The sequence below is a fragment of the Homo sapiens genome, chromosome 18 (genome assembly GCF_000001405.40).
Source record: "Homo sapiens chromosome 18, GRCh38.p14 Primary Assembly".
Classification (NCBI taxonomy): domain Eukaryota; kingdom Metazoa; phylum Chordata; class Mammalia; order Primates; family Hominidae; genus Homo; species Homo sapiens.
In genome coordinates, this window is record NC_000018.10 from 21635355 (window position 1) to 21661090 (window position 25736).

Here is a 25736-nt window from a genome sequence, read left to right on the forward strand (position 1 = left end):
ATGATCTCAGCTCACTGCAATCTCTGCCTCCCGGGTTCAAGCAGTTCTCCCATTTCAGCCTCCCTAGTAGCTGGGACTACAAGTGTGTGTCACATGCCCTGCTAATTTTGTACTTTTTTTTTTTTTTTCCGAGACGGAGTCTCACTCTGTTGCCCAGGCTGGAGTGCAGTGGTGCGATCTTGGCTCACTGCAAGCTCTGCATCCCGGGTTCACGCCATTCTCCTGCCTCAGCCTCCCGAGTAGCTGGGACTACAGGCACCTGTCACCATACCCGGCTAGTTTTTTGTATTTTTAGTAAAGATGGGGTTTCACCATGTTAGCCAGGATGGTCTCGATCTCCTGACCTCGTGATCCGCCCACCTTGGCCTTCCAAAGTGCTGGGATTACAGGTGTGAGCCACTGCGCCCGGCCAATTTTTGTACTTTTAGTAGAGACGAGGTTTCACCATCTTGGCCAGGCTGGTCTGGAACACCTGACCTCGCCCACCTTGGCCTCCCAAAGTACTGGGATTATAGGTGTGAGCCACCACGCCTGGCTCCATTATGGCTTCATACAAAGGTCAGTACAGACTGACCTTTGGGTAATTAAAGATAAAAGTTGATGGACTCGAAAATAAAACATGACAATCATATTAAAACCACTATAATCATGACTATTTCCATCTTTCTATAGTGATGCTCAGGAAAATTAAGCAACAATTATATTTTTACCCGAGTGTACCCTAGAATTACAGTGAGGAACACACCACACTGGGTCAGCCTGTCTTTAGGAGAGGAGGTAAGAAACCATCCAATATCTCTTGACTGAAATAGGGTTCCAATAAGCTACATGCTCTGGAAACAAAACCTCTCTATCAATTCTCGTTCCAAATCACTGCATATCTCATAATAATTGGCTCTTGTCTGCTGGCTGCAGGGGAGCACTAGGTCCTGGAGGAGGGAAACTGCAAGGCAGCTAAGGCCACGATTGTCCTGTGTTTACTATTAAGCAGGCTTCACAGTGACAGAGCTGGCCATTTGAGGACAGACCTGACCCGGAGCCTTCCACTCTGGGGAACCTCTCGGGTAAGTCTGATGCATCTGGGGATGAAAATCAGCCATGGAATTCTAGAAGCTAAAATAAAATATGGAAAGGCAACTGATGAAAACTTCCAAGACTAGAGCTTCGGTTTCATTTGTCTTAATCCATGGTTGGTTGAGTAGCCATTCAATGGCTACTTTTTTTTCCCCAGTAAGAGCCTTCTAAATCAGGGATGAGATTTTAATCCCAGCACTTTGGGAGGCTGAGGCAGGCGGATCACGAGGTCAGGAGATCGAGACCATCCTGGCTAACACAGTGAAACCCCATCTCTACTAAAAATAAAAAAATTATCCGGGCGTGGTGGCGGGAGCCTGTAGTCCCAGCTACTCGGGAGGCTGAGGCAGGAGAATGGCGTGAACCTGGGAGGCAGAGCTTGCAGTGAGCCGAGATCGTACTACTGCAGCCTGGGCGACAGAGCAAGACTCCGTTTCAAAAAAAAAAAAAAAAAGAAAGATTCAGGTTCCAGCAGGATGTTTCCAATTAAGAGTCACTTCCATGTCTGCTCCTTGTCACAGGCTGATGTATATTTCTGCACAATCTGAATCCGACTTCTATTCTGAAGTTTTAAGATTTGAGTCAGAGGGCTGGGCGTGGTGGCTCACACTTGTAATCCCAGCACTTTTGAGAGGCCGAGGCGGGCAGATCACCTGAGGTCAGAAATTCGAGATTAATCTGGCCAACATGTTGAAACCTCGTCTCGACTAAAAATACAAAAATTAGCTGAGCGTGGTGGAACACACCTGTAATTCCAGGTACTCAGGAGGCTGAGGGAGGAGAATTGCTTGAACTCGGGAGGCGGAGGTTGCAGTGAGCTGAGATCATTCCACTGCACTACAGCCTGGGCAACAAGAGTGAAACTCTGTCTCAATTAAAAAACAAAAAGAAAAATGGGCACAGTGGCTGTAATCCCAGCACTTTGGGAGGCTGAGGCGGGTGGATCACGAGGTCAGGAGATCGAGACCATCCTGGCTAACACGGTGAATCCCCATCTCTACTAAAAATACAAAAACATTAGCTGGGCATGGTGGCAGGTGCCTGTAGTCCCAGCTACTTGGGAGGCTGAGGCAGGAGAATGGAGTGAACCTGGGAGGCAGAGCTTGCAGTGAGCCGAAATCACGCCACTGCACTCCAGCCTGGGCGACAGAGCGAGACTCTGTCTCAAAAAAAAAAAAAAAAAAAAAGATTTGAGTCAGAGGCCTAGCATTTGTTTTTATTGAGTACTTCCCCTTAACTGTGCACGATTAGAGCATTTGATAATTATTTTTTGTGCTTGCTAGAAAGATTACATCATCTGAGGGATTTGGCTAGCATGCATCTAAATATACAGGTTGCTATAGTTTGGGTGTTTGTCCCCTCCAAATCTCATGTTGAAATTTTGTTTTTCTTTCTTTTTTTTTTTTGAGACAGTCTCATTCTGTTGCCCAGGCTGGAGTGCAGTGGTGTGATGATCTTTGCTCACTGCAACCTCCGCCTCCTGGGTTGAAGTGATTCTTATGCCTCAGCCTCCAGAGTAGCTGGGATTACAGGTGTGTACCACCATGCCAGGCTAATTTCTGTATTTTTAGTAGAGACAGGGTTTTGCCATCTTGCCCAGGCTTGTCTCGAACTTCTGACCTCAGGTGATGCGCCTGTCTCTACCACCCAAAGTGCTGGGATTACAGGTGTGAGCCAATGCACCGGGCCAGGACATTAATAGATTAAAGAAAACCAATCAACTATTTGGGGGGACTGTATTAGGATTCCCCAGAGAAACAGAACCGATTGGAGAGATACAGAAAGAAATTTATTGTAAGGAATTGGCTATGATTATGGAGGCTGAGACTAAGACAAGTCAGTAGCATAGTTCAGGGTGAGTCCCAGTGCCTGATAACCATGAGCACTGATGGTGTGAATTCCAGTGTAAGGGCAGAAAACCAATGTCTCAGCTCAGACAGGTGGAGAGAACAAATTCCTTTTTGTTTTGTTCAAGCTCTCAATGGGTTGGATGAGGCTCACCCACATTTGGAAGGGCAATCTTCTTTACTCAATCTGTTGATTCAAATGCTCATCTCATCCAGAAACACTCTCACAGACACGCCCAGAAATAATGTTTAACCAAATATTTGGACACCCTGTGGCCTAGTCAAGTTTACACAATAAAACTAACCATCACAGAGCCCAATTCTTCACATCTTCTCTCCTGATCATCACCTCATTTGCATATCTACTCACCATTAGTCACTTTCACTTTTTTTTTTTTTTGAGACAGAATCTCACACTGTTACCTGGGCTGGAGTGCAGTGGTGCAATCTTGGCTCACTGCAACCTCTGCGTTCCAGGTTCAAGCAATTCTCCTGCCTCAGCCTCCTGAGTAGCTAGGATTACAGGCACCCACCATCATGCCCAACTAATTTTTTGAACTTTTAGTAGAGATGGGGTTTCACTATGTTGGCCAGGGTGGTCTCGAACTCCTGACCTCATGATTTGCCTGCCTCAGCCTCCCAAAGTGCTAGGATTACAGGCGTGAGCCACTGTGCCCGGTCACTTTCACCTTTAACCTAGTTTTTCCCACCCACTAAACTGCAACCTTGCCTTTCTGCATGTATCTTCTATATTTACACTTTGTGTAATATTTTTCTTCTATATTTACACATTGACAATGTCTGTTTATGTGGATGTTTTGTTGGCATCCAACTTAGAAGAAGCAAATGTTCTATTAAGAACATATTGTAGTTCAGTGAGAAGCATGTTTATTAGGCCAAGGTCTCTTTGGAGTTATAATTTTGAATTTATTATGGATTTATTTTTTGTGGATTATATTTCAGTAAGAAATAATGTGCTTGAGTTTCCTAATCACACTTAACAGGTTCTAGCCTTTATTAAATGTTCTCATAAAATGACACCTCTCAGGGAATATTTATGAAAATTTTAACCTATAAATTACCTTTATTTATTTATTTTTTTTTTGAGATGGAGTTTCGGTCTTGTTGCCCAGGCTGGAGTGCAGTGGTGCGATCTCAGCCCACTGCAACGTTCACCTCCTAGGTTCAAGTGATTCTCCTGCCTCAGCCTCCCGAGTAGCTGGGATTACAGGCGCCTGCCACCATGCCCGGCTAATTTTTTGCATTTTTAGTAGAGACAGGGTTTCACCACTTTGGGCAGGCTGTTCTCAAACTCCTAGCCTCAGGTGATCCACCCTTCTCGGTCTCCCAAAGTGCTGAGATTACAGGCATGAGCCATCGTGTCTGGCTAAATTATCTTTTGTATAAGGGCAACACATTTCTTCCTCTTTCTATATTCCTGCCTGAGCCTATAAAATAGAATACAGCTCATAAAATATTGAGGGTAGAAGAGGGTTGACCATTTTGTTTCCCTCCCTCAGCAAGGGAGTCTGTGTTCTGCTGGCATTCCCTGGGGGCATCCACCAAAAGGCAGGCCTGGAGGAGCTCCACACTATATAGCTTTCTTTTCTGTGCGTGACCCACACTTGGGGTAAATGTGCTGTGTGCATTCAGCTCTCCCTATAAACTCATCCTGAGTTGTGCCTTGGGGGAAGGAGGGCATTTCACTTTATCTTCCAATCCAATCTATGTTTTAAATCTAGCTTTACCATTAATAAAGCAGATAGCCCCCATCTGTTTTCTCAATTTAATTCAAAATCTGGAGATGGAGAGTGTAGTTAATTGGTACTTTTGAAACCCCAAAACTTTACAATATATATACAGATAGGATCCAAAATGAATTTGACTGCTTATTGCTGATGCATATTTGTGACATACATGCATACATTTTATCTATCCTTCTGTGCTTTTTTAAAATTTAATTATTTTTTTAGAGATGGAGTCTTATTCTGTCACATAGGCTGGAATGCAGTGGCATGATCATAGCTCATTGTAGCCTCAAACTCCTGGGCTTAAGCAATCCTCCATCTCAGCCTCCTGAGTAGCTAGAATTACAGGTGCATGCCACCACACCCACCTGATTTTTTTTTTTTTCTGTAAAGATGATGTCTCTATGTTGCCCAAGCTGGTCTCAAACTCCTGGGCTCAATCCGCTCACCTCAGCTTCCCAAAGTGCTGGGATTACAGGTGTGAGTCACCAAGCCTGGCCCTGTTTGTTTTCTTACTCCATTTTAGGTCTTCCCTTACAATTAATAAAGTTTTCCAAATTCTGTATTTTGCAGATTGCAAGATTGCATCCCCAGCTTATCTTTTTTTTTTTTTTTTTTTTTTTTTTTTTTTTAGACAGAGTCTCGCTCTGTCACCCAGGCTGGAGAGTGCAGTGGCGCGATCTTGGCTCACTACAAGCTCCACCTCCCAGGTTCACGCCATTCTCCTGACTCAGCCTCCTGAATAGCTGGGACTACAGGTACCCGCCACCACGCCCGGCTAATTTTTTATATTTTTAGTAGAGATGGGGTTTCACTGTGTTAGCCAGGATGGTCTCGATCTCCTGACCTCGTGATCCACCCTCCTCGGTCTCCCAAAGTGCTGGGATTACAGGCCTGAGCCACCGCGCCCGGCCCCCAGCTTATCTTTTAACATGCTCCTCTGTCCCCTGAATGTCTCCTAAACTGGAGGTTTGATCTAGTTGGACTGATAACTCTTCAAGTTTAGTTTTTTTGTCTCCATCTGAAGGCGCTGGGAGAAAAAAAGAGAAGAAAATGTTTTTGTCAAGAATACTTCATACCTGGCATTCATACTGTTTATCATTTTTAATTTTTTTTGGTTTTTCCTTTTGTCGATTATTTGACGCCCTCCGTTACCATACTGTATTTCATTCTTGTGTTATTTACATTTTCTTTTCTTTTCTTTTTTGAGTCGGAGTTTCACTCTTGTTGCCCAGGCTGGAGTGCAATCGTGCGGTCTCGGCTCACCACAACCTCCTCCTCCCGGGTTCAAGAGATTCTCCTGCCTCAGCCTCCTGAGTAGCTGGGATTACAGGCATGCGCCACCATGCCTGGCTGATTTTATATTTTTAGTAGAGACGGGGTTTCTCCATGTTGGTCAGGCTGGTCTGGAACTCCTGACCTCAAGTGATCCGCCCGCCTCGGCCTCCCAAAGTGCTGGGATTACAGGCGTGAACCACCGCACCAGGCTAAATTTTCTTATACAGTGTAACATATTGATGAAAGAGGGGATTCCTGGAGCCAGACTCTGAATTTGAGTACTGGCTCTGCCCTTCAATTATTTGAGTGACCTTGGACAGGCTATCTAAATTTTCTGTGCCTCGTTTTCCTCATCCATCAAACCTGAAAGGTGCATTGGGTGGATTAAAATAATAAATACATGTAAAGTACTTTGAATAGTATTTGGCATAAAGTTTAAGATCAGTAGATGTTAGTTATTATTATGAATTATTATTATCAGTTGGGGTTTTGTTTGATTTTAGAGACAGTGTCTCCCTGTCGCCCAGACTGGAGTGCAGTGGCATGATCAGAGCTCACTGTAGGAGCTGGGTATGGTGGCTCACGAGTCTAATCCCAGAACTTTGGGAGGCTAAGGTGGGAAGATGGCTTGAGCTCAGGAGTTTGAGACCATCCTGGGCAACATGGTGAGATCCCCATCTCTAAAAAAAAAAAAACCCTAAAATTAGCCAGGCATGGTGGCCTGTGCCGGTAGTCCCAGGTATTCAGGAGGCTGAGGTGGGAGGATCAATTGAGCCTGGGAGGTAGAGGCTGCAGCAGTGAGCTGAGATGGCGCTACTGCACTCCAGCCTGGGTAACAGGACAAGACCCTGTCTCCAAAACAAACAAATGAACAAACAAACAAAAATAGCTCACTGCAGTCTTAAACTCCTGAGCTCAAGAATCCCCCTGCCCCAGCTTCACAGATAGCTAGGATGACAGGCATGAATCACTGCACTTGGCCCATATTTGCCTGTTTTTGAAGAGTAGTATACTACTTTTGTTTTTAACACTTTGAGTATTTTTACTTTCATTTAATAACATACAGACTGAATTCATGGTGGGTGCTATGATCAGAATGTTTGTGTTTCCCCAAAATTTATATGTTGAAATTATCACCCCCAAAGTGATGGTATGGCTAGGCGTGGTGGCTCATGCCTGTAATCTCCACACTTTGGGAGGCCGAGGTGGGAGGATGGATTGATCTCAGGAATTTGAGACCAGCTTGGGCAACATAGTGAGACCCCCGTCTCTACAGAAAATACAAAAAAGAAAAAAAGGAATAAAAAAGTAATAAAAGTAAAAAACAGCAACAAAGTGATGGTATTAAGAGGCGAGGGGAGAGAAATGGGGAATGACTACTAATGGTTATTGAGCTTTTTGGAGGATAATAAAAATGTTCTAAAATTGTGGAGATGATTGCATAACTCTGTGACGAAACTAAAAACCACTGGATTCTACATTTTAAATGAGTTAATTGTATGATACAGGTATTGTATATCAGTAAAAAAAAATTGGCGTCCTAGCTACTTAGGAGGCCAAGGCAGGAAAATTGCTTGAGTCCAGGAGTGCAAAACTTTAGTGCTTGATGATTGTATCTGTGAATAGCTACTGAACTTCAGCACAGGCAACATAGCAAGACCCCATCTCTAAAAAATAAACAATTTTTAGCCGGGTGTGGTGTTGCGAGCCTGTAATCCCAGCTACTCAGGAGGCTGAGGCAGAATTGCTTGAACCCAGGAGGCGGAGGTTGCAGTGAGCCGAGATCACGCCATGGCACTCCAGCCTGGGCGACAGAGCAAGACTCTGTCTCAAAAAAAAAACAAAAACAAAAACAAAACAACAATTTTTTTTTAATTGGAAAATGCAATTCAAAGAAAAAGAGAGCCTTTGGGAGGTGATTAGATCATGAGGGCAGAACCAGAGTGACATTAATGTCCTTATAAAAGAGGCTGGATGGAGGGAGTTCTTAGAACTGTGAGACCTTTATGTCTGCTGTGTAAAGCCACTCCGTTTATGGTATTCTGCTATAGTAGCCTGAAGGGACTAAGACAGTGGGCCTCTCCCTCTCAAAGTATGAGGTTTTTGTTTTTTTTGCTAAAGCTGGAGACAAGGTGTGCATAGAGAAGGTGTCACCTGTTACTTACCTTCTGTCGGAGAAAAATCCTGGTGTGAGAAGTTAGGGAAAAGAGAAAATGGGGTCAAATTTAGCGCTCCTGCTTTTGTTGAATGTGTCAGTTATTTGAACCATTTACTCAATTTTCTTATCTTTTTATGCAGAGTAACTTTTGTTTATTACTTAATTAGATTAATACTGCCTTAGTCTGTTTTCTGCTCCTAATAACAAATATCTGAGATTGGGTCATTTATAAGAAAAGAAATTTATTTCTTACAGTTATGGAAGCTGAGAAGTCAAAAGTCAAGAGCTACATTTGGTGAGAGCTGTCTTATGGCGGGGACTCTGAAGAGTCCCGAGGCAGTGCGGGGTATCAGATGGCCAGGAGGCCGAGCATGCTAGCTCTGGTCTCTCTTTTCGGATAAAGCTACCCAGTACCCTCCCATGATAACCCATTAATCCATTAATCCATGAATAGATTAATCCATACATAAGCGCTAAGCCCTCATGAGCCAATCACCTCTTAAAGGCCCTACCTCTCAAAATTGCCACGTGGAGGATTAAATTTCAACATGTGCTTTGAAGGGCACATTCAAACCATAGCAGATACCATTTATCTTTCCAGAAGCTTAAACAACAACAATAACAACAACAACAAAAAGAACTAAAAAAGAAAATGAGAGTATAAATATAACTATTTTAGATTAACTATTCCCATACCTTTTCTCTGCCTCTCATTTTCTGGTATTTCTTAATGTTTTCACTTCTTTTCTTTGACAGGCACACACCACCACGCCTGGCTACTTTTTGTATTTTTAGTAGAGATGGGGTTTCACCATGTTGGCCAGGCTGGTCTCGAACTCCTGACCTTGTGATCCACCCGCCTCGGCCTCCCAAAGTGCTGGGATTACAGATGTGAGGCACTGCACCCGGCCATCAACTTCTTATATTTTAATAGTACTCAATAGTTCAAGCATTTTTATGTTATCTTTCTAATCCTCATACAAACTCTAAAACTGATATTACTATCTGCATTTTATAGATGAAGAAACTGAGGTCTAGCAAGGGTAAATGATTTGCTTCAGGTCAAATGGCAGATCAGCAGCAGAGCTAAGAACCAAATTCAAGTGCTCTGAATTCAAGTCCAAATTTCTTACCCAAGAAAAGAACTTACAAATACTAGGATCAATGATTAATGATTATAAAGAGCTCTAGGTATATATATAGAATATTAGGCATTTTTTGTGTGTAAAAATCTATTTCTAAATATGTGTCATGAAAATATATATACTAGTTTATTCTACATCATGTTTCTCCAAGCATTACTTCAACTCTAAGAAAACCTGGAAGTTTCAAATGTCATATTGGAACACTTCTGTATAGCATTAGGAAAAATAAACTATATTCAGGGACCAGGAGTTAAGTACAGAGCTTGGAAAAATAGAGGCCTGAAATCCTTGCATCTGCCCATAGGTAAAGTAAAATAGATAAACAGTATATTTAAAATTTACAGATACTAATTAGTGGGTTAACAGTTTCAAGCAGAGAATAATGCTCTTCCCCCCACCCCCACTGCCCCCAAAGATGGAGTATCACTCTTATGCCCAGGATGGAGTGCAGTGGCATGATCTCAGCTCACTGCAACCTCTGCTCCCCAGGTTCAAGTGATTCTCCTGCCTTAGCCTCCTGAGTAACTAGGATTACAGGCATGCACCACCATGCCCGGCTAATTTTTCTATTTTTAGTAGAGACGGGGTTTCACTATGTTGGCCAGGCTGGTCTCGAACTCCTGACCTCAGGCGACCCACCCGCCTCAGCCTCCCAAAGTGCTGGGATTACAGGCGTGAGTCACCACGTCCTGCTGAATAATGCTCTTTTGGGATCATTCAGATCTGTTAATGTATTGCTAGCTTGTCTACCAATATCCAGCTGGTATTTAGTTCTTGGTAATATGATCAACAAACCTGAAGTATATATAGAATAGATATGATTATTGTACTGTTTGCAAGATTTGGGTACCAGTATCTAACTCTAGGGGGAAGATAACTATTTATAGAAGGCACAAATAGACAAATTGTCGAGTTATAAATTAATACTGAGTCACAGTCTTAACAGTAACAAGAAGTCTTTCTTATTTGATCCAAGTAAATATTTTTATTTAAAAGATGTTCAGGGTCAGGCACGGTGGCTCTCGCCTGTAATCCCAACACTTTGGGAGGCCAAGGCAGGAGGGTCACTGGAGGCCAGGTTTGAGAACAGCCTGGCCAACATTGTGAAACCCCATCTCTACTAAAAATACAAAAATTGGCCAGGTATGGAGGTGCGTGTCTGTAGTTCTAGCTACTTAGGAGACTGAGGCACGAGAATAGCTTGAACCTGGGAGGTGGAGGGTGTAGTGAGCTGAGACTGTGCCACTGCACTCCAGCCTGGGCGACACAGCGAGACTCCGTCTCAAAAAAAAAAAAAAAAAAGGTGAGAGTCAAAATACTGTCTTTTAAGTGAGGCCTCGAGTTAAAATAGCACATTTCTTAGGTATTCTTTATCACCTGACCTTGCAAATTGTCCTCATCAACTCCAAATTAAGTTCTAAAATGTTGAGTGCTTACCTTGTGACCAACCAGTGCTATATTAGGTTCGGAGTAACTGTGAGATTTTAAAAATTACCATGTTGATTCTGAAGTCTGCAGGGGAAACAGAATGCTTTAACAGATGCTCTGCTTCAGAGACAGGTTGCAAAAATCCCTCCTCTCCCCACTCCTGATTTGCAAGTCTTACCTTTCCATCAGTGTCGTGGCCTAACATTCAAGTATTATTATTATTAACAAATAATTATTAAGAATTTTGAATGAGCCAGACACTATACTGGCCCCGGGGAAAAAAAGGAGAGCAAAAAAGACATGTTTCCTATCCTCACTGTGCTTATAGTCTGCTGGAGAAAGCAGGTAAATAAAGAAGCTATCAGTAAGTGTGATAACTGCTAGAGAATAGTGATTTCCTTAACTTCTAGTAACTTCTAGAATCCCAGTGTTTTTCAAACTGCAGGTTGCAACCCATTGGTATGTCTCAAAAAATACATTTTTACAGTAATTTTTATTTATTTATTTATTTACAGAGTCTCACTCCCTTACCCAGGCTGGAATGCAGTGGTGCGATCTCTGCTCACTGCAGCCTCCACCTCCCTCCAGGGTTCAAGCGATTCTCGTGCCTCAGCCTCCCAAGTAGCTGGAATTAGAGGTGTGTGCCACCATGCCCAGCTAGTTTTTGTATTTTTAGTAGAGACAGGTTTCCCCATGTTGGCTAGTCTGGTCTCGAACTCCTGACCTTAGGTGATCCCCCAGCCTTGGCCTCCCAGAGTGCTGGGATTACAGGCGTGAGCCACCACGCCCGGCCTCACTTTCATTTTAAAAATAAAAATGGGCCGGTTGCGATGGCTCATGCCTGTAATCCCAGCACTCTGGGAGGCTGAGGTGGGCAGACCACCTGAGGTCAGGAGTTTGAGACCAGCTGTGCAACATGGTGAAACCCTGTCTCTACTAAAAATACAAAAATTAGCCTGGCCTGTTGGCGGATGCCTGTAATCCCAGCTACTCAGGAGGCTGAGGCAGGAGAATCGCTGGAACCCGGGAGGTGGAGGTTGCAGTGAGCTGAGATTGCACCACTGCACTCCAGCATGTGCAACAGAGTGAGACAGTGTCTTAAAAAGAAAAAACAGTGATGTTCAAGTAAAAAAAATAGACCAGACTAGACTAGGATGGGCTAGAAAATATGAGAATGTATTGCACGTAATACGAGTATTGTTCTATAAAATGTGTGTTTATTGGCCGGGAGTGGTGGCTCACGCCTGTAATCCCAGCACTTTGAGAGGCCAAGGTGGGCGGATCATAAGGTCAGGAGTTCGAGACCAGCCTGGCCAACATGGTGAAACCCCCATCTCTACTAAAAATACAAAAAATTAGCCGAGTGTGGAGGCGCATGACTGTAATCCCAGCTACTCAGGAGGCTGAGGCAGGAAAATCACTTGAACTCAGGAGACGGAGGTTGCAGTGAGCCGAGATCTCGCCATTGCACTCCAGCCTGGGCGACAGAGCAAGACCCTGTCTCGGTCGGGGGGCGGGGGAGTGTGTTTATTTATTGGGTTCAAAGTGTAAAAAATGTTTGAGGCTTCTCCCCCACCCACCCCCCACCCCACCCCACCCCTGGCGAAAAAAAAGAAAAGAGAAAACTGTATCTATTTTCATCCCTAGTGCTGAATACAATGCTCTATATAGAGAAGACTTGGGATAAATTTTCGATAATGACAATAAACAGAAACATGAGAGGGAAACTAGAAAAAAATTCCATGATATGCTTAAAATGAACTTTTCAAAATAAGCGCCAGCTCACAAAGTTGTATTTTCATGTTTATACCACTATCACTCAGCTAATTTTGACTAAGGACCTACTGTGTTTTAGGCAATATGCTAGTTGCTTGGGATGTAAGAAATAATTAAAACACAGCCTTTCTTTCTCAGAGCTTGCTAGTGTGTGAAGAAACAGCTGGGGAGAATAATCCTCGATATACAAGAATCAGTACTTGAAAATATTCATCTCATTATAAATAACAAGTACATAATTACATGCATGTAGAGTTGTGTTTTATTTTTGTTTTACACTAGTGGTTATCTTTAAATCTTTAAACATTACAGTGCTAGTTCATATTTTGGTCTTGGTAGAATATCATGGTTAAAACTTATAATTCAGATTCACTAGGATGTTTATAATAAATAAAACATACAATTAGTGTTGGTGAGGATGTGGAGAAATTAGAACCCATGTACATTGCTGGTTGGAATGTAAAATGGTACAGCTGCTTTGGGAAAGCCTGGTAGTTCCTCAAAAAGTGTAGAATTACCATATGACCAGGTATATACCCAAGAGAAATGAAAAATATGCCCACACAAAAACTACACAAATGTTCATTGCAGCATTATTCATAATAGCAAAAAGAAATAACCTAAATGTCCATCAACTGATGAACAAAATTTGATCTCTATCTGCACAGTAGAATACTATGCATCCATAAAAGGAACATCAGGCTGGGCGCCGTGGCTCACACCTGTAATCCCAGCACTTTGGGAGGTTAAGGCGGGCAGATCACAAAGTCAAGAGATCGAGACCATCCTGGCCACCATGGTGAAACCCCGTCTCTACTAAATATACAAAAATTTGCCGGGCGTGGGGGCGTGTGCCTGTAGTCCCAGCTACTCGGGAGGCTGAGGCAGGAGAATGGCTTGAACTAAGGAGGCGGAGGTTGCAGTGAGCCGAGATTGTGCCACTGCACTCCAGCCTGGGTGACAGAGCGAGACTCCGTTTCAAAAAAAAAAAAAAAAAAAGGAACATCAAGAACTGGTACATGCCACATATGGATGAACTTTTAAAACATTATGCTAAGTGAAAGAAGCCAGTCACAAAATAGCATACATTGTTTTACTCCATATACGTAAAACAGCCCAGAACAGGCAAATCTATAGACACAGAGATTAGCAGTCGTCTAGGGCTGAGGGATTAGTGACTTCTTCTAAAAGGGGTAGAGGGTCTTTTTTTCAGGGTGATGAAATGTTCTAAAGTTAGATTATGGTGATGGCTGCATAACTCTGTGAACAAACGCCACTGAATTATGCCCTTTAATTTTTTTTAGAGATGGGGCCTTGCTGTGTTGCTCAGGCTGGAGTGCGGCAGATGTTTAAAGGTGTGATCATAGCTCACTGCAGCCTCGAACTCCTGGGCTCAAGTGATCTTCCTTTCTCAGTCTCCCGAGTAGCGAGTAGCAGGGACCACAGGTGCATGCTCACTGCTCTAGCTCCAAATTGTGTACTTTAAATGGGTGAATTTTATTATATGTGAATTACATCTCAATAAGGAAGTTAAGGTCGGGTGTAGTGGCTCACACCTGTAATCCCAGCACTTTGGGAGGCCGAGGCGGGCGGATCACGAAGTCAGGAGTTCAAGACCAGCCTGGCCAACATGGTGAAACCCTGTCTCTATTAAAAATACAAAAATTAGCCAGGTGTGGTGGTGGGCGCCTGCAATCCCAGCTACTCCAGAGGCTGAGGCAGGAGAACTGCCGGAACCCAGGAAGCGAAAGTTGCAGCGAGCCGAGATCGCGCCATTGCACTCCAGCCTGGGTGACAAGAGTGAGACTCCATCTCATAAAAAGAAAAGAAGTTAAAAAATATGATTCAGGGCCGGGCGCGGTGGCTCACCCCTGTAATCTCAGCACTTTGGGAGGCCGAGGCGGGCGGATCACGAGGTCAGGAGATTGAGACCATCCTGGCTAACACGGTGAAACCCCGTCTCTACTAAAAATACAAAAAATTAGCCAGGCGAGGAGGCGGGCGCCTGTAGTCCCAGCTACTCGGGAGGCTGAGGCAGGAGAATGGCGTGAACCCCGGGGGGCGGAGCCTGCAGTGAGCCGAGATCGCACCACTGCACTCCAACCTGGGCGACAGCGAGACTCCGTCTCAAAAAAAAAAAAAAAAAAAAAGATTCAGGCCAGCCAGCATCCATGGCAGGATCAGCCCCCTCATCCATACAGACCTAATGTAATTATTATGATTGAATCAGAATATATTTTGTACAGACAAAAAAGCACTGGTATTATTATTGCTATCATCTTAGATACAGTATTGAGGGAGTCTACAAGTACATCTTCAGGAGTTCTCCAAATGGTGGCATTTTTAGTAAATAATTTTATGTTAATATATATTTTTTGTACATGGTTCTCTCAACGTGTTACCTGAGGAAAAAAATATGTATTTTATAAACAGGCTGAAGTAACGAGGAGGGAAAAGATGTTGAATAATGTGAAAATTATTATTATTAGCTGGCTAGCCCAATAACCATTGCCAATCCCCTTTCCCTTGCCTGCCTTCACTATGATTGATAAAGTATGTAACTGACAAATTACTTGCTTTCCCAGTCTCTCACTCCACCTGGATGGCCATGTGACAGGGGTCTAGCTAATGGATGTAAGTGCAAGTCTTCTGGGAAAGCTTTCACTTTCCTAAAAGGGGAGATGTGTCTGGCTCCACTCTTCCCTTTTCATTCTTTGAACACAAATGTGTCATCTGGAACTGCAGCAGCCATCCTGTGTTTAGGAGATAACTAGCCACCGTGATAAGGATGGAATAGAAACAGCCTGGGTCTTTGATGACATTGGTAAGCCTCTGCACCAGCTCTGGCCTGCCCACCAGAATTCTTATAATACAAGTTAATGAGATATAATTTTTCCTTAAGGCACTGTTAGGTTTCCTGCAGCTGAAAGTATTCTTAATTGGTACAAGTGGTGTGAGCTCAATATTCTGGAAACAGTAAAGCAAAACAGTATTAATGTTTCTTACTAATGCATTAATAAAATTATCATAAATTACTTTCTAGGGATTACTTTCTGGGCCCTTTTAGCAGATAAAAACTCACAAAGGACCAATTTAAAATGGTAGAATTTATTTTAATATAATGATATATATGTGTCCACATATACTATTTTAAAAATAAGCATGTAAATTATAATCATTATAAAACATAAGTTAGTCCTAATTTAATATTATCAGAGTAAAAGAGCACATATAGAAGTCAGTCTAACTTTGTTGCACTTGTCTTTTAAAGTTAGAATACATAAAAGATTTAGCACGTTGTATTTTATCTTATTTCAGTTTTCATGTTATCATCAACTATAAATACCCTTAGGAATGTACCACCTTATAACTTACATTGAAATAGCCAATATTTCTTAGTAGTTATTAAAGTACCATTAAATCACCTAAAACAAATAATCTAAAAAAATACTAGTTTAAATTAAAACCCTGAGGAATTAAAATTTGTTTTACACAATAGTTTTGGTTAAGTGCAATTTCATGTACATACTACTTTGTTTAAGGATGTACTTGGTAAGGCATAGTAAAAATAAAATCTACGTAAGTAACAATCTAATACTATATTTAATTTGTTGCTACAAAGTTGTTTTGTTTCTCTAAAAAGTAGTTTTTGCATATCATTCTGGACCTCTTCACCCATCTGCTGGCTTATTTGCTTTATATACAACAGTTAAAATTTGTGCACTAAGCTGAGCTGCCTTCACAATTGTGGTTCAGACAAAATGCACCCAAAGAACTACATGTTAAGAGAGTTCATGTCCATGCTCAACCATGGCTTGCACAAATTGCTTGAAGACACGATCCATGTAAGTGGACTGTCTTGGCCAGATTCCCTCCAGAAAACCAATATGGCCTCCATAAGAAGTAAGGACCAAAGCAACATTAGGATTTTGCTTAGCAGTTTCTATTGGAATAGCTTCAGACCAAAAAAAACATGGCAATAAGAGAGAAGAAGGAGAGAGAAAAATATAATCATTATGTTTTTGTCAGGAAAAGCATATACCTTTATCATGTCTAATAAACAGAAATCAAAACACCATTATATAAATATATGTAATGAGCATAGTTAAATGGAATGAGTCTACCTTATATCAACTATATTCTTACAACAGTTCATATATATGGTCATGTCTGCACAATCATTTTGGGAAGAATCAATCCAAGATTGTTCTTCATAACACAAAAGTATACATCAAGTCTTACTTTGAGAAATTAAAGTAAGACAATTCAAGGAATGGTGAATCCTCATAATAGGCTATAAAATTCCCACTGAAGTGTTAGGGCAGGGGAAAAAACTAAGCTTAGCATCTTTGTGAGAGTTAGAAATTCATTAGGTATTATTTTGATTAACTTTACATGATGTGGCTGGGCATGGTGGCTCATGCTTGTAATCCTAGCACTTTGGGAGGCCGAAGTGAGAGGATCACTTGAGCTCAGGAGTTCGACACCAGCCTGGGCAACATAGTGAGACCCCATCTTGAAAGAAAGAAAAGAAAGGACAGGAAGAAGAAAGAAAGGAAGACAAGAAGAAAGCAAAGAAAAATAAAGAACGAAAGAAAGAGAAAGACAAAAAGAAGAAAAAGAAAAAGAGAAAGAACGAGAATGAAAACAAAGGAAAGAGAGAAAGAAAAAAGAAAGAAAGAGAGAGGCCAGGTGTGGTGGCTCATGCCTGTAATCCCAGCACTTTGGGAAGTTGAGGCAGGTGGATCACGAGGTCAAGAGATCGAGACCATCCTGGCCAACATGGTGAAACCACGTCTCTACTAAAAATACAAAAATTGGATGGGCGTGGTGGCACGTGCCTGTAGTCCCAGCTACTTGGGAGGCTGAGGCAGGAGAATCGCTTGAACCCGGGAGGCGGAGATTGCAGTGAGCCGAGATCACACCTTTGTACTCTAGCCTGGCAACAGAACAAGACTCCAACTAAAAAAAAGAAAGAGCTCACGCCTGTCATCCCAGCACTTTGGGAGGCTGAGGCAGGTGGATGACCAGGTTAGGAGATCAAGACCATCCTGGCCAACGTGGTGAAACCCCATCTCTACTAAAAATACAAAAATTGGCTGGGCGTGGTGGCGCACACCTGTAATCCCAGCTCCTGGGGAGGCTGAGGCAGGAGCATTGCTTGAACCCGGGAGGCAGAGGCTGCAGTGAGCCAAGATCATGCCACTGCACTCCAGCCTGGGCGACAGAGCAAGACTCCATCTCAAAAAAAAAAAAAAAAAAAAAAAAAAAAGAGCTGGGTGTGGTGGCTCACGCCTGTAATCCCAGTGCTTTGGGAGGCAGAGGCAGGTGGATCATGATGTCAGGAGTTCAAGAACGGCCTGGCCAACATGGTGAAACCCCATCTCTACTAAAAATACAAAAAATAGCCAGGCATGGTGGTGCACGCCTGTAATCCCAGCTACTTGGGAGGCCAAGGCTGCAGTGAACTATCGCACCACTGCACTCCAGCCTGGTGACAGAGCTAATTTTTGTATTTTTAGTAGAGACGGGGTTTCACAATGTTGGCCAGGCTGGTCTAGAACTCCTGACCTCAAGTGATTTGCCTGCCTCAGCCTCCCAAAGCACTGGGATTACAGGCGTATGCTACCTGTCTGGCCTGAGTATAACCTTTAAAAGATATGAATTAAAGTTTTTTTTTTCTCCCATGCTTAGAGGTCAGTGAAAATGTTTTGATATAAGGTCTCTAATGGATCAAAACCTGGCATGAGAAGTGTTTTGATTTCAGATACTGCCAAATCTTATCTCCCTAATTAAGATAACATGGTTGAGGCCAGTGTGGTAGCTCATGCTTGTAATCTCAGCACTTTGGGGGGATCTCTTGAGGCTAGGAGTTTGAGACTAGCCTGGGCAGCATAGCGAGACTGACCGTGTCTTTACAAAAAATGTTAAAAAAAAAAAAAAAAAAGCCTTGTGTGGTGGCATGCACTTGTAGTCCTAGCTGAGGCTGAGGTGGGAGGACAGCTTGAGCCCAGGAGTTTAAGGCTGCAGTAAACTTTTTTTTTTTTTTTGAGATGGAATTTCACTGTTGTTGCCCAGGCTGGAGTGCAATGGTGTGATCTCGGCTGGCTTACTGCAACCTCTGTCTCCGGGGTTCAAGCAATTCTCCTGCCTCAGCCTCCTGAGTAGCTGGGATCACAGGTGTGTCCCACCACGGCCAGCTAATTTTGTATTTTTTTTTTTTAGTAGAGATGGGGTTTCACCATGTTGGTCAGGCTGGTCTTGAACTCCTGACTTCAGGTGATCCACCCACCTCGGCCTCCCAAACTGCTGGGATTACAGGCGTGAGCCACTTCGCTCGGCCTGACTGCAGTAAACTATGGTAGTATCAGTGGACTCCAGTCTGGGCAACAGAGCAAGATCCTGTCTCCAAATATATATATATAATGTGATTGATGCAATAATTACAACTTCACAACTTGGGCTGAGTTTTAGGGGCAAATGAGCTAATTAAAGGTAACAGCTTCTCTACCTCACCCCCTTGTAAGAAAAAGGAAGCTAAAATTCACTGTAAGAGAACTGGGGCCCTTCCACAAATTGACTGTTTAGACAGTGCTCTAAATTTGACCCTTCATAACACTCTAAAGAATAAACCGATAGCCCTAAAGCAAGGCTCAACAAGCTAAGTTCTTATCAAAAAGTGGTCCTGAGTTCACGTCCTTAGCTAGCCACGTCCGTCCCAAGAAAGAACACCTAAAAGTGAACATCTATCTTGGGATCAGGTGTGGGAACTTAAGGGGGAATGGCTGATACTATTTTTGCTTTTCCTTTTTCACCAAACATTTAGAGTGTTTCATTTGCCTCTAAAGGAATTATCAAGAGCCTAAACTTCACACTCTGGATACATTCAGAAATTTCTAACAGAGAGTTACAGTCATATCAGAAGAACAAAAGGCTGGGCCACATTTGAGGCATGTGAAAGATGCTGGCTGCCTGTTCTCTCAGACTGCAGACAATTGTCCACTATTTCATTGCGGCAAGACTATTTTAAAGGCTTGGGAAAGAATAGGAAATAATGAGTTCAAACTTCACCCAAGTGGGTAAGGTTAAAATGTTGGGAACTTTTTATTGGTAAAAAGGGCAGTGAAATATAAAAACGGGTAGAGAAATACTGGACTTCCTTAATCCAATGAAAATATGCTAAAACAATCACCATGTAAGTCAACTGATATTAAAGTTCAGAGTTTCATTTTCTAAATTGTGGTCAAGGCTGTAAGTTTCAGCTTCTAAGATTACCTGTGATTAAACATAAATCACACAATAAAATAGGATCTCCTAGAGAAATGATAGGTAATTTAAAAATATATATATATACACACACTGGGGATTTTCTGAAAATTTCACAACATATGTGTTATGTTTATAGTCAGAATCATTTTTTAAATGAAGTATTTGGGGAAAATGGTTTTAATGCATTGAGGGGAAAGAGAGAAAAAGTTTTTTTTTTTTTTTTTTTCCAAGATAGAGTCTCACTCTGTCACCCAGGCTGGAGTGCAGTGGCACGATCTCAGCTCACTGCAACCTCCGCCTCCTGGTTCAAGCAATTCTCCTGCCTCAGCCTCCCAAGTAGCTGGGATTACAGGCACATGCCACCATGCCCAGCTAATTTTTGTATTTTTAATAGAGGTGGAATTTCATTGCGTGGGCCAGGCTGCTCCTTATCTTTGTTATCAAATTTCATATTTCTTGACTTAAGAAAGCAGGAAAGTTGGCGGGGTGTGGTGGCTCATGCCTATAATGCCAGCAGTCTGGGAGGCTGAGGCAGGCGGATCGCCTGAGGTCAGGAGTTCAAGAGCAGCCTGGCCAACATGGTGAAACCCTATCTCTACTAAAAATACAAAAATTAGCCAGGCATGGTGGCGGGCACCTGTAATCCCAGCTACTTGGGAAGCTGAGGCAGGAGAATTGCTTGAACTCGGGAGGCGTGAGCCGAGATCGTGTCTTTGCACTCCAGCCTGGGTGGCAGAGTGAGACTCCATCTCAAAAAACAAAAAAACAAACAAAAAAAAGGAAAGCAGTAAAGTTTAGGCTGGGTGTGGTGGCTCACGCCTGTAATCCCAACACTTTGGGGGAACCAGGCAGGCGAATTACCTGAGGTCAGGAGTTTGAGACCAGCCTGGCCAATATGGTGAAACCCCATCTCTACAAAAATACAAAAATTAGCCAGGCATGATGGCGGGTGCCTGTAATCCCAGCTACTTGGGAGGCTGAGGAGGGAGAATTGCTTGAACCCGGGAGGCGGAGGTTGCAGTGAGCCGAGATCGTGCCTTTGCACTCCAGCCTGGGCGACAGAGCGAAAAAGAAAGCAGGAAAGTTTATTTCTGAATAATTTTCTTTTTTTTTAAGAGACAGGGTCTCACTCTGCTATTCAGGCTGGAGTGTAGTGGCATGATCATAGCTCATTGCAGCCTCAAACTTCTGGGCTCAAGTGATTCTCCCACCTCAGCCTCCCAAGTATCTGGGACTACAGGCACACACCACCATGCCCAGCTAATTAATTTTCTTTTATACAGTATTCCAGGGAAAAGGAAAGGATGTTTCTCTTTAAATATGACCTTCTAGTCCAAATATGCTTCACTAATTGAGATATTCAAAGCCACTGTGTTTATAAAGTCTCAAGTTCTCTTCCAGATTAAAAGGGAAGAAAAACTTCAAATTCTTCTTTATAGGAATCTCAGGAAGAAGAGGCAAGTGATAACAATATTCTCCTGAGGCAAAAGGACTGTAACATAATCTGTCCAAAGAACAGTGTATTTGGTAAGAAGGAAAGGTTATAAAAATGAGAATGAGCAAAACAGTGAGTCATAATTTGTTCTGAGCCTCTCACAATGGACTAGATAAGGGTCTGTGAAAATATTTAAGTGATTTGAGACATTTAGATACTGTGTTATGAGTATCTAGTTTTTTTATCATAATGGAAATGACACATTTTCTTATTACTATATTTCCTTAAAAATAACAATATATTAAAAGTTGATTCATGTCAAAATATATACAAATATGTTAATTTTACCATGACTGGGTGAGAAAACATCATCCACAGAATTTAGACACAATACTGGAATTCCTACTGACTTCAGTCTAGGACTCGGACTGGCATCAGTATAATAATCATCAATTGTTTGGTATCCAAACATGACTGAAGTGAATCGCTTATCAAACTCTCTGATGGATTTAGCCTGAAACACAAAAACAAATTATATCTAGTCTTGCCCAAAAGAAGAAATAAAAGTATTACATAAAGTTTCTCTCCTACCTTCATGACATGATCCATATCAACTTGTTTTACAAACATATGTCGGTGCCTGGAACAAAAGAATTTCGGAAGTAAAAATCAAGATCATTCCTACTCCATCATACTAAAAGGACTTAAAAACAAATTACTAAACAGCCTACCACAGGGCACAAAGTTGGCACTCAATAAATATTTGCTTAATCAGGTACGGCAGGATTAGAATAATAATGTTTGTGCTGAAGATATTTTCTTCAAGTACTTTTTTTTTTTTTTTTGAGACAGAGTCTTGCTTTGTCGCCCAGGCTGGAGTGTAGTGGCATGATCACGGCTCACTGCACCTTCAGCCTGCTGGGCTTTAGTGATTCTCCCACTTCAGCCCCAGAGTAGCTGGGACTACAGGTGTGCACCACCACACCCCACCAATTTTGTGGGTTTTTTTTTTCTTTTGGTAGAGATGGGGTTTTGCCATGTCACCCAGGCTGGTCTCAAACTCCTGGGCTCAAGTGATCCACCCTCCTCGGCCTCCCAAAGTGCTGGGATTATAAGCATGAGCCACCTTGCCTGGCCTGGTAAAATCTAATCCAGTGTTTAATGTCAACTTCCAGGATAACTAAGGTTTTCAGTAAGTCATGTGCAAATCAACAGTACTTTTAAAGTTTATATTCATCAATTCACTTAAAAGTACGTAACAGTCATAAAAAAATAAAGATTATAGCATTGCGTGCCTGTATCAAAATATCTCATGTACCTCATAAATATATACACCTACTATGTACCCACAGAAATTAAAAATAAAAAAAATTAAAGAAAGAAATAAGCAAACAGAAATATCTCTGCTGGGCGGGGGGCTCACGTCTGTAGTCCTAGCACTTTGGGAGGCTGAGGTGGATGGATTGCTTGAGTTCAGGAGTTAGAGACCAGCCTGGGCAACATGGCAAAACCTCATCTCTGCAAAACATAAAATATTAGCCAGGTGTGGTGGTATGTGCCTGTAGTCCCAGCTACTTGAGAGGCTGAGATGGGAGGATCACTTGAGCCTAGGAGGCTGAGGCTGCAGTGAGCCATGATCACACCACTGCACTCAAGCCTGGGCAATAGAGAGAGACCCAGTCTTAAAAAAAAAGAGGGAGAGAAAGAAAAAGAAAAAAAGAAAATACACAAACAATTCCAGAGAAAACTAATGCAAAGATAGTATTTTGGTAGTATAAGAGCTGTGAGGGCTGAGATTATCTAAGTGAACTGCATTCTCCTGTCTCTAAAACATACTATGCTCATAAGCACACCCTCAAGGAGCTGTATTATTCAGCAATGAAAGTACTTACTACATTACTATCCAGGAAAGACTTAGGTATTACTAAGATTAGCAACAAGTAGAAAATCCAGGGAAACAGCCCATCACACCACTTAACACATTCCATACTAACATTTTTAGTCTTTTAGAATAATTTAGAATGGTGATTAGAATAGTAACCTTCAATAGTGTACCTTCACTAAAAATGGGGCACATACTTCAGGGGTTGTACAAGACAATCCACTGGGGTTCAGAAGGAAAACATTACAACTTTTAGCTATATTTTTAACTTATGCTTAAATTTTAACTTATACTTACATTTTTTATTTATATGCATTTACAACAAAGATAATATTTTGGTACAGTAGTAAATTTATTCAGTGTATAAACACATATACATATATTGGTAGTATTACGCTTTAAATTTTTTTACTGTTGGGGCATGTAATCATTTGGAGACAATAGTTTTTTTTTTTTTTTTTTGAGACGGAGTCTTGCTCTGTCACCCGGGCTGGAGTGCAGTGGCACGATCTCGGCTTACTGCAACCTCCGCCTCCTGGGTTCAAGCAATTCTCCTGCCTCAGCCTCCTAAGTAGCTGGGACTACAGGCACACATCACCACGGCCAGCTAATTTTTTTGTATTTTTGGTAGAGACGGGGTTTCACCATGTTGGCCAGGATGGTCTCGATCTCCTGACCTCGTGATCCCCCCGCCTCAGCCTCCCAAAGTGCTGGGATTACAGGCGTGAGCCACCGGGCCCGGCCCTGGAGACAACAGATTTTAAAGATGACTCACTTATTAACTGAAGACTGAAGGCAGGTTGTCAAATAGTAATTAAAAAGTAGCCAGTTCAGTGGTTTTTCCAATGACTCTGAGCAAGCGAAGGTGTTCCAACCAACGGAAAAAGTTGCAGCTGCCATCAAAGGCGTTTTGGACCCAATTTTGCCCAAGTAATTTAGAAGCAGCATTCTAAAATGGGGAGAAACAGGAAACTCAGTGATTAATTTGTTGTATCACAGAAGACATCCATTTCTAACTACAGACTTTATGTTAACTATGGAGAAGAAAAATATAAACTAGTGTTTAAGTCCTCTATCCTGGAAAAGCATGCAAGCATCTTCATTCTTTCCTTATATTCATATATTTATTTGTCTTGCAGTCAACTATGTGGTAAATGGGACAAATCATAGTTATTCCTTATATATGTATCCTATGAAGTCAAACATAAGAGAAATCCACCCTAAGAGTGGTTTTTAGATGTGACTGCATGCTGGAATCACCTAGAGTTTTTTTTTTTTGTGTGTGTGTGTTTGAGACAGAGTCTTGCTCTGTCACCCAGCCTGGAGTGCAGTGGTGCGATCTCGGCTCACTGCAACCTCCACCCCCCTGGTTCAAGCGATTATCCTGCCTCAGCCTCCCGCGTAGCTGGGATTACAGGCATGCATCACCACGCCCCGGTAATTTTTTGTATTTTTAGTGGAGACGGGGTTTCATTGTGTTGACCAGGCTGGTTTTGAATTCCTGACCTCAAGTGACCTGCCCACCTTGGCCTCCCAAAGTGCTGAGATTACAGCCGTTGCACCCGGCCTTTTTTTTTTTTTTTTTTTTTTTGAGATAGGCTCTGTAGCCCAGGTTGGAGTGCAGTGACACAATCACACCTTAGGGCAGCCTTGATCTCCTGGGCTGAAGTGATCCTCCCACCTTACCCTCCCCAGTATCTGGGACTACACGTGTCCGCCATCAAACACAGCTAATTAAAAAAAAAAAAAAAAATTTTTTTTTTTTTTTTGTAGAGATGAGGTCTCACTATGTTGCTCAGGCTGGTCTCTAGCTCCTGAGGAGTTTGTAAATGACTACTGATGTCTAGGTCTTACCCTGAGAGATTGTGAGTTAACTGGTCTGGATCACTACCCTAGCTGCCAAGGATCCTTGCACCCTGTGGCAAGTTTCTAAATTGCTCTCTAGTCTAGACTTTCTGAGTTGTGGTAGAACAGCTGACCCCTAAAGTAACTTGTTTTCTCTTTCTATTCCTGTTATTTGTCCTTATTTCCTAACACATATTTTCTTCTGTTCTTTTTGTTCTACTAATTTTCTTGATTCTATGCTAATTCTATTTTGGTAAGAGAGACCATAATCATGTCTAATCTACATACACAATGTTGAAAATCTAAAGTTTAATGCTGCCTAGTAACAGGATGATATCCTAATTGTTTCTCATTATATTTTTTGTACTTGATTTCTTCAATTGTCCATGTTTTGAAATAGGAGAAATGGCTTAAAATTCCCCCTCATTCTTTTTTCCAGTTCAAATGACTTGCTGGGGTGAATATGATGAAGTTTTAGATGGAAAGTGGACATTTAGCTTTTGAAAATGATCCTTCATAACAACTGAACTATCTGTATACAGTATTGTGATTCACCAAACCATATATAGGACAATGCTTACTCTTCTGCAAAGGGTTCATTCTAGAGTCCTAGTTTTGGTGGCCCTACTCTTTGATGGGAGGTCAGATATTGTTGGGAGGCTGGTAAAATGCACAAATTAGAAGGCCTTGAAGGGAAACTCAGGACTAGGAAGATTCAGAAGTAGATATGACCAAGCAGGTGGAATACGTCTTGGTTATTACTCAGCAGCAAAATGATGCTAAGATGTTATCCCCAAAAAGACTGTTTTACTTCTATAGGAAAAGGACCCTATTTTCTCACCAAAAGAAAA

The 25736-nt window shown here is 42.1% G+C and overlaps 1 protein-coding gene across 8 annotated transcripts in view, besides 2 other annotated features; it reads right to left on the reverse strand.

Moving 5' to 3' along the window:
- Positions 3121-3321: a silencer, noted in NCBI's record as "peak3065 fragment used in MPRA reporter construct". NCBI's record gives its function as "represses an SCP1 promoter by STARR-seq MPRAs in K562 erythroleukemia cells {active_cell/tissue: K562}" and the evidence as "EXISTENCE:reporter gene assay evidence [ECO:0000049][PMID:32103011]".
- ABHD3 (abhydrolase domain containing 3, phospholipase) overlaps positions 15547-25736 on the reverse strand; it is a 53874-nt gene continuing 43684 nt past the window's right edge. For 4 of the 8 annotated variants that reach the window (NM_001308256.2, NM_138340.5, XM_017025574.2 and 1 more), the window contains 4 exons: positions 23816-23989; positions 21750-21798; positions 21507-21672; positions 15547-16409 (listed from right to left, as the gene is read on the reverse strand). In NM_001308256.2, the coding sequence (NP_001295185.1) occupies positions 16237-16409; positions 21507-21672; positions 21750-21798; positions 23816-23989 (562 nt within the window). In that variant the 3' untranslated portion in view covers positions 15547-16236. Of the gene's footprint in view, positions 16410-19534; positions 19730-21506; positions 21673-21743; positions 21799-23815; positions 23990-25736 lie in introns of those variants that run through there. The other 4 variants (XM_047437312.1, XM_011525847.4, XM_047437313.1 and 1 more) reach the window with 3 other exon arrangements.
- Positions 16121-16321: a silencer, noted in NCBI's record as "peak3066 fragment used in MPRA reporter construct". NCBI's record gives its function as "represses an SCP1 promoter by STARR-seq MPRAs in K562 erythroleukemia cells {active_cell/tissue: K562}" and the evidence as "EXISTENCE:reporter gene assay evidence [ECO:0000049][PMID:32103011]".